Genomic DNA, 14,092 nt, shown 5'->3' on the forward strand with positions numbered 1-14,092 from the left:
AGCTTTTCCTCATAGGGCTCATCTCTGGTCACTACCACAGAAGCACCTATGCAGGCTGCTCTCCCGCATCTCTCTCACTTCCCCGATCCCCTGCTGGTGTCTCCTTCACCTTCCAAACAGCCTCCTTGCACTTGAATCCTTGCCCCGGGGTCTGCTTCTGGGAAACCAAAATGAAGACAGTTTCTGCCCACAGAGAGCTTTTATTCTAATGGTGAGACAGAGTGGCCAGGCTGACCAACGGCCCGAGCCCAGAAAGGCTTCCTCACATATGTCCTTGGTTTGTTTTTCTCTTCCCAGGACTATCCTTCCTACCCCGGCTTCCCCCAGAGCCAGTACCCCCAGTATTACGGCTCATCCTACAACCCTCCCTACGTCCCGGCCAGCAGCATCTGCCCTTCGCCCCTCTCCACGTCCACCTACGTCCTCCAGGAGGCATCTCACAACGTCCCCAACCAGAGTTCCGAGTCACTTGCTGGTAGGTGCAGTCACTGGTGGGGCCATTCATGGCTGTGGTCTGAGAGCTTCTATGAAGGAGGGACCCGCACATGGGTCCCAATTGTAACAAACAGGTTACCCAAGGGTCATTCATGGATGTGGCCTGAGAGCTTCTCTGAAGGAGGGACCTGGATATGGGTCCCAGTTGTCACAAACAGGCTCCCAAGGGCTAAATCCATCTCTCAGACATGTTTTGTTGGCCTGTTTGTGCATGTGTTTAATTGCATTTACGTTTAAAAGTCAGAAAATTTTATAAATACCTAAAAATTCTATTTTCTGGCTTCTTTTGAAAGAAGATCTGGCCATAGTAGCCACATTCCCAAGGAACACCACTTGGTTAAAACTAAGTGTGTCTGCTCTTTTTAGAAAGGACACACCCAATTCCACATCTAGCTAGCTTACCCCATGTTCATTACTGCCTGGCCCATGTAGGCCTTGGAGTTGATGAACCCTGGTAGTATTTATAATATTACCAGCTGGGCACGGTGGCTCACACCTGTAATCCCAGCACTTTTGGAGGCTGAGGCGGGTGGATCACCTGAGGTCAGGAGTTCGAGACCAGCCTGGCCAACATGATGAAACCCCATCTCTACTAAAAATACAGAAATTAGCCTGAGTCATGGCAGGCACCTGTAATCCCAGCTACTAGGGCGGCTGAGGTAGGAGAATCGCTTGAACCTGGGAGGCGGAGGTTGCAGTGAGCCGAGATCGCGCCATTGCGCTCCAGCCTGGGCAACAAGAGTGAAACTCCATCTCAAAAAATTAAATAAATAAATAAAATACCCATCTGTTTCGTGCTGAGCACATACCTGTGTGGTCTTCTCTAATCATTTACTTATATATTTATTCAACAAATATTTGGTAAGCTCCCACTGCATTCCAGGCCCTCCCTTTAGTTTGGGAAATAAAGTGCAGTGTAGAGTTAAGCTTTGCAGACAGGAATCAAATAATCATACAAATATCTCATTACAAACTGTGATAAGGAGAGGCATAATCCTCACAAAAACAGGTTTATATTATCCCCACCCTTTTTCTAGATAAGAACAATGAAGATGAGAGTGATAAGGAGCTTGCTAGTGATTGGTGGGGCTAGGATCCCAATCCCAGTTTGTTGGCCCCCATAACCAGCACTCCTGCTATGCACTGGCCATACACAGCCAGGAACTGTGTACACAGCCTGGCTGTGTACGGCCAGGAATATGTTATCTAAAATCCGTTTGAGAACAGAAGGGCAGAGGCTTTCAAATGTTGATTCTTTGTCTAAGAGGGGTTCAAGTATAGCGACTCAGGGTCCTCAAGAATTATACAATCCTTCAAAACATCCTTAAGCATGTTCATTTTTTTTTTCTTTCAACTTGTATTTTAGGTTTGGGGTACACATGCAGGTTTGTTACATGGGTAAATTGCATGTCGTGGAGGTTTAGTGTACAGATAATTTTGTCACCCAGATAATCAGCACAATACCCACTAGGTAGTTTTCCAGTCCTCACCTTCCTTCCATCCTCTACCCTCAAGTAGGTCCTTGGGTCTATTGTTCCCTTCTTTGTATCCATGTGTACTCAATGTTTAGCTCCCACTTATAAGTAAGAACATGTGGTATTTGGTTTTCTGTTCCTGTGTTAATTCACTTAGGATAATGGCCTCTAGCCCTATCCATGTTGGTTCAAAGGACATGATCTTATTTTTTATGGCTGCGTAGTATTCCATGGTGTATATATACCACATTTTCTTTATCCAGTTTGCCATTGATGGGCATCTAGGTTGATTCTTTGTCTTTGCTATTGTGAATAGTGCTGCAATGAACATACACATGCATGTGTCTTTATGGTAGAAAAATTTATATTCCTTTGGATATATACCCAGTAATGGGATTGCTGGTATATATCCAAATGGTAGTTTCATTTTAAGTTCCTTGAGAAATCTTCAGGCCGCTTTCCACAGTGGCTGAACTAATTTACATTCCCATGAACAATGTATAAGCATTCCCTTTTCTCTGTAACCTTGCCAGCATCTGTTATTTTTTGACTTTTTAATAATGGCCATTCTGATTGGTGTGAGATGGTATATCATTGTGGTTTTGATTTGCATTTCCCTAATGACCAGTGATATTATTTTTTCATATGCTTGTTGGCTGCATGTATGTCTTCTTTTGAGAAGTGTCTGTTCATGTCCTTTGCCCATTTTTTAATCGGGTTATCTTTAAGGATGTTTGTTTCTGATGGCACAATAGTTTTAGGAAACCCTTTTGATTAGCCAAGATTTTTTGGCTTCAAAAGACATAGAAAATCCAATTCAAACTAGTTTAAGAAAAAGCAAATGAACTTTTAGGCATATCTAACCTAGATGTACAGGGGTTTAGAGCTAGGTCCAGGTGTTCCAATGACAATGTTGAGACTTAGTTTCTCTCTTCCTTCTGGCTCTGAATTTTCCTGGGTTCGTTCCGTTCTCAGGCAAGCTCCTCCCCTATGGTGGCAAAGATGGCCACCAGCTACCCAGAGCTCAATCCTGTCTGCTAATCCATCCCAGCAAACATAGTTCCTCCTTCTTAGCCATTCCTGCAAAAGTCCCAAGTAAAGCTCCCATTGGCCCAGCTTAGGTCACATGCTCATCCCCAAACCAATCTCTGTGGTCAGTGGAATGGAATGCTGGGATGAAGCAGCAGACTTTGGGCTCATGCCTACGGCTGGAGCTAGAGTTGGGGTCAGCCTCACCTCAACCACCAGGGACTGAGAGTGAGGAAGAGGTGATCACCTCAAAAAACCTAGAGCATTGTAACTACAAGAAGACAGAAGAGACAATGGGTGAGCAAAAACAATAAATGTCCACAACCTTGATATGGATGCCACCTACACTATGAGCAACATGTGGCAGAGTCCATGTCCTGACCCCTCTGTGGTCACAGAACTTAGTATGTAACATCCCTATGCAACTAATGCACCAGCCTGTGGATTCATTCATTCATTCCCCAGACCTGCTATGCACATCTTCTCTTTTACAAGGTGGTTTTGGCTTATCAACATTAAATAACATGGCAGCAATACGTTAGAATGTCAGTAGATATCACTGAGTTTCGTTCCTTTGTCTTCTTTTCTGAAACCTACTGATGCTGTAGGGCTTTGCAGAAGCTAAGCTAGCACGATGGTGTGGAGACAGTCATCAACAAATATTAATTGGTTGATTGTTAGAAAAGGAACAATAGGGAAGACCCACCTGTTTTGTTCCTGGGGTTCTTGGTGTGGCTATTGATTTTAGCCCTTAAATTTTCCATCACTGGGAATGAGTGAGTTATCCTTGGTTTGATGACAAATGGAGACAATATGGCAAAGCATGTTAAATAAAGTCAACTTTTTAAAAGGTTTAGAGCTTGAGCATTGATTTTGGTCATTGTGATCTCATCCCAGAATATTTAATGATGCATAGTACCTATTTAATAACTTTCTTTGAAGAGTTTGAAGTTTAACAAAGTTTTTCTCTGTCATCATCTTGAATTATCTTTAGCCATCCTGATTTTCAGAATGTGGTTCTTCCGATCTCATTTCAACAAAGGAGATAAAAACAAAACATTGATGAGAAATTAGGGCAGAGAGGAACTATAAGCAGGAAACCATCGAGTAGATGCCACTATCCGTCTATAATTCAATGGTGAACTGAATGGCAAACGAAAAACTTACCTCCCCAGAATTTGAGTTTTGTGGGAAGGTTCTCTTCATTCCCATCAGGAGTGAATATAAAGGCTCATTGTGTCTTTGAAATTTTTCTGTCTTGTTTCCCTCTGTTCTTCCTTTATCCCTTGATCAAAGGTTCAACAGTAAGTGGTTGAGATGGTTTTTACTGTGTGTCTAACAAGCTGACATAAAATCTAATGACGTAAATAATGGTCAGCTGTAGCTGAGGTCTCCTGCCTCTTTTTCCTAGTGTTCACTGTAAAGGAATTTAAGCATATGTGTGTGCACATGTGCACGTGCGCGCGCGCGCGCACACACACACACACACACACACACACACACATTCATGCACTCTTTTTAAATTTCCCATAAAAACTCTACTTTTGAAATTATCCAGGATATCCTTGAGTGGTTGGTTCCAAACTCCAGAGGCTCTAGAGGTTTACTGACAGACAGATCACACTCACTGTGTGCACTGCCTGGATATAGTATTTTGGTGCTCTCACCACTCACATCCCCCATGCACCCCATCCTCGCCACAGGACACTCTGCATTGACATGCATTAATGTGTGTGTGAAGTGCCAACAATTTGCAGATGATTACAGGGCAATTTGCTGATATAGAGGGCAGAATCTGAACATCTCATGTTACTTAAGAGAAAAACCAAATCATTGGTTACTTAAGGATTTTTTTCTTTTTACATTTTTAAATATGATACAAATTATCTAAAAAGAAGTTGAAGGATTTTTTAACTTCTAAGATCAACTTCCTTTGCCAAGAGAAGAAGAATTTTTTTAATCTCTCAAGAAGAAATTGGGAAGGCTCTTCCGTGTAATTTGGCAACATCTAACAAAATTTAAAATGCATAGACCTTTTAACTCAACTATTCGACATCTAAGAATTTATCCGAAAGATAAACTTTGACCTAGGTACAAACACTTAAGTAAAAAGAATACTTATTTTTTTCACTGATTAAAAATTTATTAATACTATTATGCAAATAATTTTAGTGATAACCACAAGGGTTTTGTACTGTTAGTACATAAATACATACAAAAATGCATTTTGAAACTTCTTGTATCCCCTTTATCCTTTTCAATTTCTGTTTATGTTTGCTCTACAATATATATGATGGATCTGTGCAGTAGAAAATTTTTTGCTGATGAGTATGGTACAATCAGAAATGTTTGGAGACTGTATCAGTTTCTTCTTGCTGCTGTAACAAATTATTATGACCTTTGTGTCTTAAAACAACACAGTGATATTTTACAGTTCTGGAGGTAAGAAATGCAACATGGCTCTCACTGAACTAAAATTGAGGGGTCAGCAGGGTTATAGTATTGGAGGCTCCAGAGGAGAATCACTTCCTTGCCCTTCTACCTGCAGAGGCCACCTGCCTTCCTTGGCTCATGACCCTGCATCATTCCAGTTTCTACTTACATTGTCTCATCTCCTTCTCTAACTCCTGCCCCCGACCCCTTATAAGGACTGTTGTGATTCCACTGGGCCCACTCAGAGAATCCAGGATCATCTCCCCATCTCGAAGTCCTTAAGTCAGTCACATCAAGAATATTTATTTTTTTAAAAAAGAATATTTATTGCAGCAGCATCATAGCAAAAGGCTGGAAACAACCTGGATACCATGCCATTAACAGGAAACAGGTTAAATCAATCATGGTGCATCCACCAGTAGCATACTATACAGCTGTTAAAAAGAATAAGTTAGATATATTTGTGCTACTATGGGTTTCTCTTTGAGCTATTGTGATAGGTTAAAAAAAAAAAGCAGGAGGCAGAATTACATGGGTAATGTGAGCCTGAGTTTTTTAAAAGTTTAAGTGTAGCTTAATACCCATATTTACTCATATTCCATAAGGAATTTCTAGAAGGATGCAATAAGAACTGTTAATAGTCATTTTCTCTGGAGAGGAAAACAAGATCTGGAGTGAAAGGAAAAGACTGTATGTAACAGGCAATCTGTAGAACACTCCACCCAACAGCAGCAAATACACATTCTTTTCAAGTGCACATGGGACATTTACCAAGATAAATATTAATATCTTCTGGGCCATAAAACAAGTTTCAGTACCTTTAAAAGAATCAAGGCATACAAAGCATGTTCTCTGACAGCAGTGGAATTAAATTAGAAATAAATTTCAGAAAGATTTTTGGGAAGTTCCCAAATCTTCAGAATCTCAATAATATACATTTCAGTGACCCATGGGTCAAAGAAGAAATCAATGGGAAATTAAAAAGCACTTGGAACTGAATGAAAATGAAAACAAATATATCAAAATTTATGGAATGTCATTAAAGCAGTACTTAAAGGGAAACTTACAGCACGAAATACCTGAATTAGAAAAGAAGACACAATTACCACAGGTATCAGGTGAAGGAAGGGAGGGAGGGAAATGAGGGAGGGGGGAGGGAGGGAAATGAGGGAGGGAGGGAGGGAAATGAGGGAGGGAGGGAGTAAAGGGGAGTGGAGGGGAGGGAAGATTGGTCAAAGGATACAAAATTTCAGTTAATAGGAATAAGTTCAGAAGAACTATTGTACAATATGGTGACTATAGTTAATAAATAAGGTATTTGTATTAGTCTATCTTCATGCTACTGATAAAGACACACCTGAAACTGAGCAGTTTACAAAGGAAAGAGGTTTAATGGAGAACTCAGTTCCATGTGGCTGGGGAAGCCTCACAATCATGGCTGAAAAAAAGGAGAAGCAAGTCACATCTTACGTGGATGGCAGCAGGCAAAGAGAGAACTCGTGCAGGCGAACTGCCACTTTCTTAAAACCATCAGATCTTGCGAGACTCGTTCACTATCACAAGAACAGTGCAGGAAAGACCCTCCTTCTTAAAGAGACAAGGTCTTACTCTGTCACCCAGGCTGAAGTGCAGTGGTACGATCATAGTTCTCCGTAACCTCGAACTCCTGGGCTCAAGCAATCCTCCCTCAGCCTCTCAAGTAGTTGGGACTACAGGTGTGTGCCACCATGCGCAGCTAATTTTTAAATTTTTTGTAGAGATGGGGACTTGCTCCTCCTTGTCTTCGGCCATGATTGTGAGGCTTCCCCAGCCACATGGAACTGAGTTCTCCATTAATGCTCTTTCCTTTGTAAATTGTTCAGTCTCAGGTATGTCTTTATCATAATTCAGTCACCTCCCACTGGGTTCCTCTCATGACATGTGGGAATTGTGGGAGTTACAATTCAAGATGAGATTTGATGGGGACACAGAGCCAAACCCTATCAGTGTTATATACTTGAAACTTGCTGAGAGAGTAGATTTTAAGTGTTTTTAGTAAAAAAAAAATAAAAAATATGTGAATGTTAATTAGCTTGATTTAGCCATCCCCAATATATACATATATCAAAATATGTTGTACATCATAAATATACACAATTTTTATTTGTCCAGTTAACAAATCATCATCATCATCTACAGGGTTGCTGTGAAAATTGAAATAAAAAGGCCGGGCATGGTGGCTCATGCCTGTAATCCCAGCATTTTGGGAGGCACAGGCACGTGGAGCACCTGAGGTCAGGAGTTCAAGACCAGCCTGGCCAACATGGCGAAACCCCGTCTCTACTAAAAATACAAAAATTAGCCAGGCGTGGTGCCACACGCCTGTGATCCCAGCTACTCAGGAGGCTGAGGCAGGAGAATCACTTGAACCTGGGAGGCAGAGGTTGCAGCGAGCCAAGATTTTACCACTGCACTCCAGCCTGGGTGACAAAGCGAGACCTTGTCTCAAAAAAAAAAAAAAAGAAGAAAGAAAAAAAGAGAGAGAGAGAGAAAGAAAAAATGTGCATTGCCTATTATTATTATTTTGAGACAGAGTCTCGATCTGTCGCCCAGGCTGGAGTGCGATGGTGTGACCTTGGCTCACTGCAACCTCTGCCTCCCAGGTTCAAGTGATTCTCCTCCCTCAGCTTCCTGAGTAGTTGGGATTACAGGCGCCCACTACCATGCCCGGCTAATTTTTGTGTTTTTAGTAGAGACGGGGTTTTACCACGTTGGTCAGGCTGGTCTCAAACTCCTGACCTCAGGTGATCCACCTGCCTCAGCCTCGCAAAGTGCTGGGATTACAAGCGTGAGCCACTGTGCCCAGCCAACCCTGCCAATTATTAAGTAACATGCAAATATAAATAATGATTAATGAAAATATATTTAAGAACTCACTTTAACCCAGACAGTTAAATATAATAATTTTCATCCAAAGATATGATTATTTAACTTAATTTAAAATTTTTTAAAAATAAGAAAAGAAGAAGTAAAACTTCATGAAGTAAAGAGATAAAATGACCTGGTCACCTATGTAGAAAATCTGATGGAATCTATGAAAAAGCTACTAGATCTAAAAAGTAACTTTAGCAGTGTTGCAGGGTACTAGGTGAATATCTAAAAATCAACAAACAACAGGAAATAGAATATTTTAAATGCCATTTGAAATAGTATCAAAGATGTGAAATACTCAAGGTTAAATTTGGCAAAAGATATGCATGACTTTACACTAAAACCTATAAAACTGCTGAGAGAAGTTAAAGAAGGCATTAATAAATGGAGATATATACCTGGTTCGTGAATCAGAAGACTTAATATTGTTAAAATGCCAGCTCTTCCCAAATTGAGCTATAAGATTAATACAATCTCTATCAACATCTCAGGCTTTTTTTAAGAAACTGTCAAGCTGTTTCTGAACTTTAAATGGAAATGCAGAGGACCAAGAAGGGCCACAATGACTTTTGTAGAGAAGAACAAAGTTAGAGGGCTAAGACTACCTGATTTTAAAATCCATTTTAAAGCCACAGTACTTAAGACAATGCAGCACTGGCATAAAAATAGACAAATAAATCAATGGAACAGAATTGAGAGTTCAGAAATAGGTTGGGTGCCGTGGCTCGTGCTTGTAATCCCAGCACTTTGGGAGGCCGAAGAGGGAGGATCACTTGAGGCCAGAAGTCTGAGACCAGCCTGAGCAACATAGCAAGACCCTGTCTCTGCAAAAAAATAAAAATAACCCAGGCAGTGGGTTGTGCCTGCAGTCCCATCTGCTCAGGAAGGTGAGGTGGGAGAATTGCTTCAGCCAGGGGTTTGAGGATACAGTGAGCTATGATCATACCACTGTACTCCAGCCTGGATGACAGAGTAAGACCCTGTCTCCACAGTAAATAAATGAATTAACCCACATGTATATGGTCACCTGATTTTTGACAAAAGACAATTCAATGGAGAAAGGACAGTCTTTTCAACAAAAGATGCTGGAACAGCCGAGCACAGTGGCTCACGCCTGTAATCCCAGCATTTTGGGAGTCCAAGGCAGGTGGATCACCTGAGGTCAGGAGTTCAAGATCAGCCTGGCCAACATGATGAAACCCCGTCTCTACTAAATATACAAAAAAATAGCCAGGCTTGGTGGCGCACACCTGTAATCCCAGCTACTTGGGAGGCTGAGGCAGGAGAATCCCTTGAACCAGGGAGGTGGAGGTTGCAGTGAGCCAAGATCATGCCACCACACTGCAGCCTGGGTGACAGAGCAAGAGTCCATCTCAAAAAAAAAAAAAAAAATCGTGGAACAACTGATTATCTATACTTCATACCTCACATGACACACAAAAAAAATGCAAAATAGATCATAGACTTAAATATAAAACTGTAATCTTCTACAAGAAAACATAGGAGACAGTTTTGTGACTTTGATTTAGGCAAAGATTTCTCATATGTAACACCAAAAATATGATCCAAAAAGAAAAAAAGAATATAAACTGGACTTCATACAAATTTAAAACTGTTCAGAGAATGAAAAGAAATCCATGGTCCAGGAGAAAAATAATTGCAAGGCATATCTCGAATAAAGCATGTGTTTATATAGAATATAGAAGGAGTGTTCAAAATCCAATAATAAGAAAGCAAACAATCTGATAAAGAAATGGGCAGGGCCAGGTGCAGTGGCTCATGCCTGTAATCCCAGCACTTTGGGAGGCCAAGGCAGGCAGGTCACCTGAGGTCAGGAGTTTGAGATCAGCCTGGCTAACATGGTGAAACCCTGTGTCTACTAAAAAATACAAAATTAGCTGGGTGTGGTGGCATGTGCCTGTAATCCCAGCTACTCGGGAGGCTGAGTCAGGAGAATCGCTTGAACCCAGGAGGCGGAGGTTGCAGGGAGCCAGAATTGCGCCACTGCACTCCAGCCTGGGCGACAGAGTGAGACTTTGTCTCAAAAAAAAAGGCTGGCTCTGTGCAGTAGCTCACGCCTCTAATCCCAGCACTTTGGGAGGCCAAGGACGGCAGATTGCTTGAGCCCAAGACTTCAAGACCAGCGTGGGCAACATGGGGAAACCCTGTCTCTACAAAAAATACAAACATTAGACAGGTGTTGTGGTGCAGGCTCGTAGTCCCAGCTACTCAGGAGGCTGAGGCAGGAGGATCGTGTGAGCCCGGGACATCAACATTGCAGGGAGCTGTAATTGTGCCACTGCACTTCAGCCTGACAGAGTGAGACCCTGTCTCAAAAAATAAAGAAATAAAAATAAAGAAATGGGCAAAATATTTGAACAGATGATAGATGCCTCACCAAAGAAGATATAGGGATGGCCAAAAGCACATGATTAAGATGCCAAATGTCATTAATCATTAGAGAAATGCAAATTAAGTTCACAATGAGACACCACTACATACCCACTGGAATGGCTTTAATCACAAAGACGGACCATACCAAGGGCTGGCAAGGATGTGGAGCAGCCAGAACTCTCATCCACTGCTGGAAAATGGTACAACCACTATGGAAAATAATTCATCTGTTTCTTTCTTTTTTTTTTTTTTTTTTTGAGACAGGTTCTCACTCTGTTACCCAGGCTGGAGTGCAGTGGTGTGATCATAGCTCACTGCAGCCTCAACCTCCTGGGCTCAAGTGATCCTCTGGCCTCAGCCTCCTGAGTAGCTGGGACTATGGGTGTGTGCCATGAAACCCAGTTAATTTTTGTATTTTTTGTAGAGACGGGGGTCTCATTATGTTGCCCAGGCTGGTCTCAAACTCCCAGGGTCAAGCAATTCTCTCACCTTGACCTCCCAAAGTGCTAGGATTACAGGCATGAGCCACCATGCCCAGCCTCATCCATTTTTTCAAAAGTTAAACACTACTTATTATATGACCTAGCAAACAAGCTCAGTAAAAATAAAAAGCTTACATCTAGACCAATGTGTGAATTAATGTTCATAGCAGCCTTATTAGAACTGAAAACTAGAATCAACCCAAACGTCTACCTACAGGCGAATGGATAAACAAATTCTGATGTATCCATACAATTGAATAGTACTCAGCAATAGAAATGAAATATTAGGCTGGGCATGGTGGCTCATGCCTATAATCCCAGCACTTTGGGAGGCTGAGGTGGGCGGATCATGAGGTCAAGAGATCGAGACCACCCTGGCCAACATGGTAAAATCCTGTCTCTACTAAAAATACAAAAATTAGCTGGGCGTGGTGGTGCATGCCTGTAATCCCAGCTACTCAGGAGGCCAAGGCAGGAGAATCGCTTGAACCGGGGAGGCGGAGGTTGCAGTGAGCCAAGATCTCACCACTGCACTCCAGGCTGGCAACAGAGGGAGACTCTGTCTCAAAAAAAAAAAAGAAAGAAAGAAATGAAGTATCGATAAACACCGCATGTACTGAATCTCAAAGCAATTATGCTGACCAAAACAAGCCAGAAAAAAGAATACATACTATATGATTCCAATTGTTTAAACCTCTAGAAAATTCAAACCAAAGTCTATAGTGAAAGAAAGCAGTTTAGTGGTTTTCTGGGGAGGGTAACTGGAGGAAGAGCTTATCCAAAGGGATAACAAGGAAATTCTTGGGGTGCTGGATTTGTTTATTATGTTGATTGTGGCAATGGCTTCACAGATGTGTACATACGTCAAAACTTAAGAAATTGTGTACTCTAAATATGTCTAGTTTATTGTATGTCAGTTGTGCCTCAGTAATGCGTTAAATAAGTAAACACATTAAAAGAGAGAAAGAAAAAGAATGAAATTACTCCAAGAAAGGTTTACATAAATTGTGCTATCCTGTGGATCTCTGACTGTGACCTTGAACTTTTACTCTGTATTAGTCTGTTCTCTCATTGCTATAAAGAAATACCTGAGACTGGGTAATTTATAAAGAAAAGAGGTTTAATGGCTGGGCACAGTGGCTCATTCCTGTAATCCCAGCACTTTGGGAGGCCAAGGCAGGCAGATCACTTAAGGTCAGGAGTTCGAGACCAGCCTGGCCAACATGGTGAAACCCCATCTCTACTAAAAATATAAAAATTAGCCAGGTATGGTGGCGTGTGCCTGTAATCCCAGCTAAAGAAAAGAGGTTTAATTGTCTCATCATTCCTCAGGCTGTACAGGAAGTATGGTGCTGGCATCTGCTCAGCTTCTGGGAAGGCCTCAGGAAATTTGCAATCATGGCGGAAGGTAAAAGGGAAGCAGGCACGTCTTACATAGCCAGAGCAGGAAAAGGAGGGGGTCAGGGGAGGTGCCACACATTTTTAAACAGCCAGATCTCATGAGAACTCACTCACTGTGCGGTACCCGGGGAGGGGAGATGGTGCTAAACCATTCATGAGAACTCCATGCCCATGATCCAGTCACCTCCTACCAGGCCCCGCCTCTAACACTAAGGATTACAATTTGACAGGAGATTTGGGCGGGGACACAGATCCAAACCATATCACTCCTCATTCTCAAGAATGTGTACGTTTGGGTAAAGGCCTGGGTTTTTCTGTTTGTTTTTTTGTTGTTTTTTTTTTTGGCACCCCTGCGAAATTGGTTTCACACAGACCTTATTTTAGACATTTCTTAGATAACTAGCATTTACCCCTCTTTTTAATATTTGCCTGTTTTAATGGGGGGGGCAAACAAATGTTTTCTAAGCCCAGTAGCCTTAAACTACCAAGTGAACCAGGAAAGACCTTATTTACATTGCTCTTCAGCATCTGTGAATTGAGAAGAAATTCTTTTTCCAGAGGAAAGTCTTTGCTCACTCAATGTTTGGGAATCTCTCATGCTGCATCCTGAAGACTCTGGGGAGGTGGAAAACACCCAGCCATCCTGACAGCGCAAAATCATGTCTTGTCTTATTATGTCCTTAGTCTGTTAAGAAGCTTTTATAAATATTAAATAAACAAAGTTCAGTCCCTTGGGTCTTAAAGGGAAATAGTTCTTTCAGTGTAGAAAAAAACTCTCCCTAGCCAAGTCTTTTTAGACAAAGGATTTTCCCCTGATGATCCAAGAACTGGCAATTAGGGCAGGAAGGATGGGGTCTGTGTGACACATTTGGGAGCTAAACCAAGCAACTGTAAAGTGAGAAAATGGGATGGGATGTCCTCGAAGGTTCACGCTGTTTTACAGTTCTGTCACTCACGAGTGACAAGGACAGGTCCAAATTTTAGTTCTGGCTTTGCCACTCATTTGCAGACTCACATGGTCCAGTAAGTCACCTCACTAAACCTGAGTTACCTCGTTAGCTAAATAAGGATAGTAAAGTACAATCAAAAGCCATGCATTTAAAACATCTGTGCGTAAGCAGCAACACAGCTCTGATGCTGGCTTTAGGACCTGGGTCGGGGACAGTGCTGCTTCACTTGTTGGGGACCACTAGACAATCGCCGGTGGGCACAAGTGTGACAGCCTCTCAGTGGGGCCACACCCAGGAGCACCCCAAAGTGAGAAGCAGCAAGGACCCACATTCTGTGCTGCGTCTCTCACTAATCCACACATATCCATGGGTTGACTCCAGCCAGAACTCCATTCAAGTCACCTCCTAACTGCCAGGCCTGTGCTAGATGCTCTCGCCTATATAATCTCATTTACTTCTCAGATTGACAGCTCTCAGCAGGTAAAGCTTAAAAGGCTTGCATTTAATAGAGAAGTGGCGGGGC

The 14,092-nt window shown here is 42.0% G+C and overlaps 1 protein-coding gene across 5 annotated transcripts in view; it reads left to right on the forward strand.

Moving 5' to 3' along the window:
- EYA2 (EYA transcriptional coactivator and phosphatase 2) overlaps positions 1–14,092 on the forward strand; it is a 294,002-nt gene that overhangs the window by 179,018 nt on the left and 100,892 nt on the right. For 4 of the 5 annotated variants that reach the window (NM_005244.5, NM_172110.4, XM_017027721.3 and 1 more), the window contains exon 7: positions 298–475. The exons of the other annotated variant lie outside the window; for it this stretch is intronic. In NM_005244.5, coding sequence (NP_005235.3) covers positions 298–475 — 178 coding nt within the window. The remainder of the gene's footprint in view (positions 1–297; positions 476–14,092) is intronic. 5 annotated transcript variants of the gene reach the window in all.

Source organism: Homo sapiens, chromosome 20, assembly GCF_000001405.40.
Source record: "Homo sapiens chromosome 20, GRCh38.p14 Primary Assembly".
Lineage (NCBI taxonomy): Eukaryota > Metazoa > Chordata > Mammalia > Primates > Hominidae > Homo > Homo sapiens.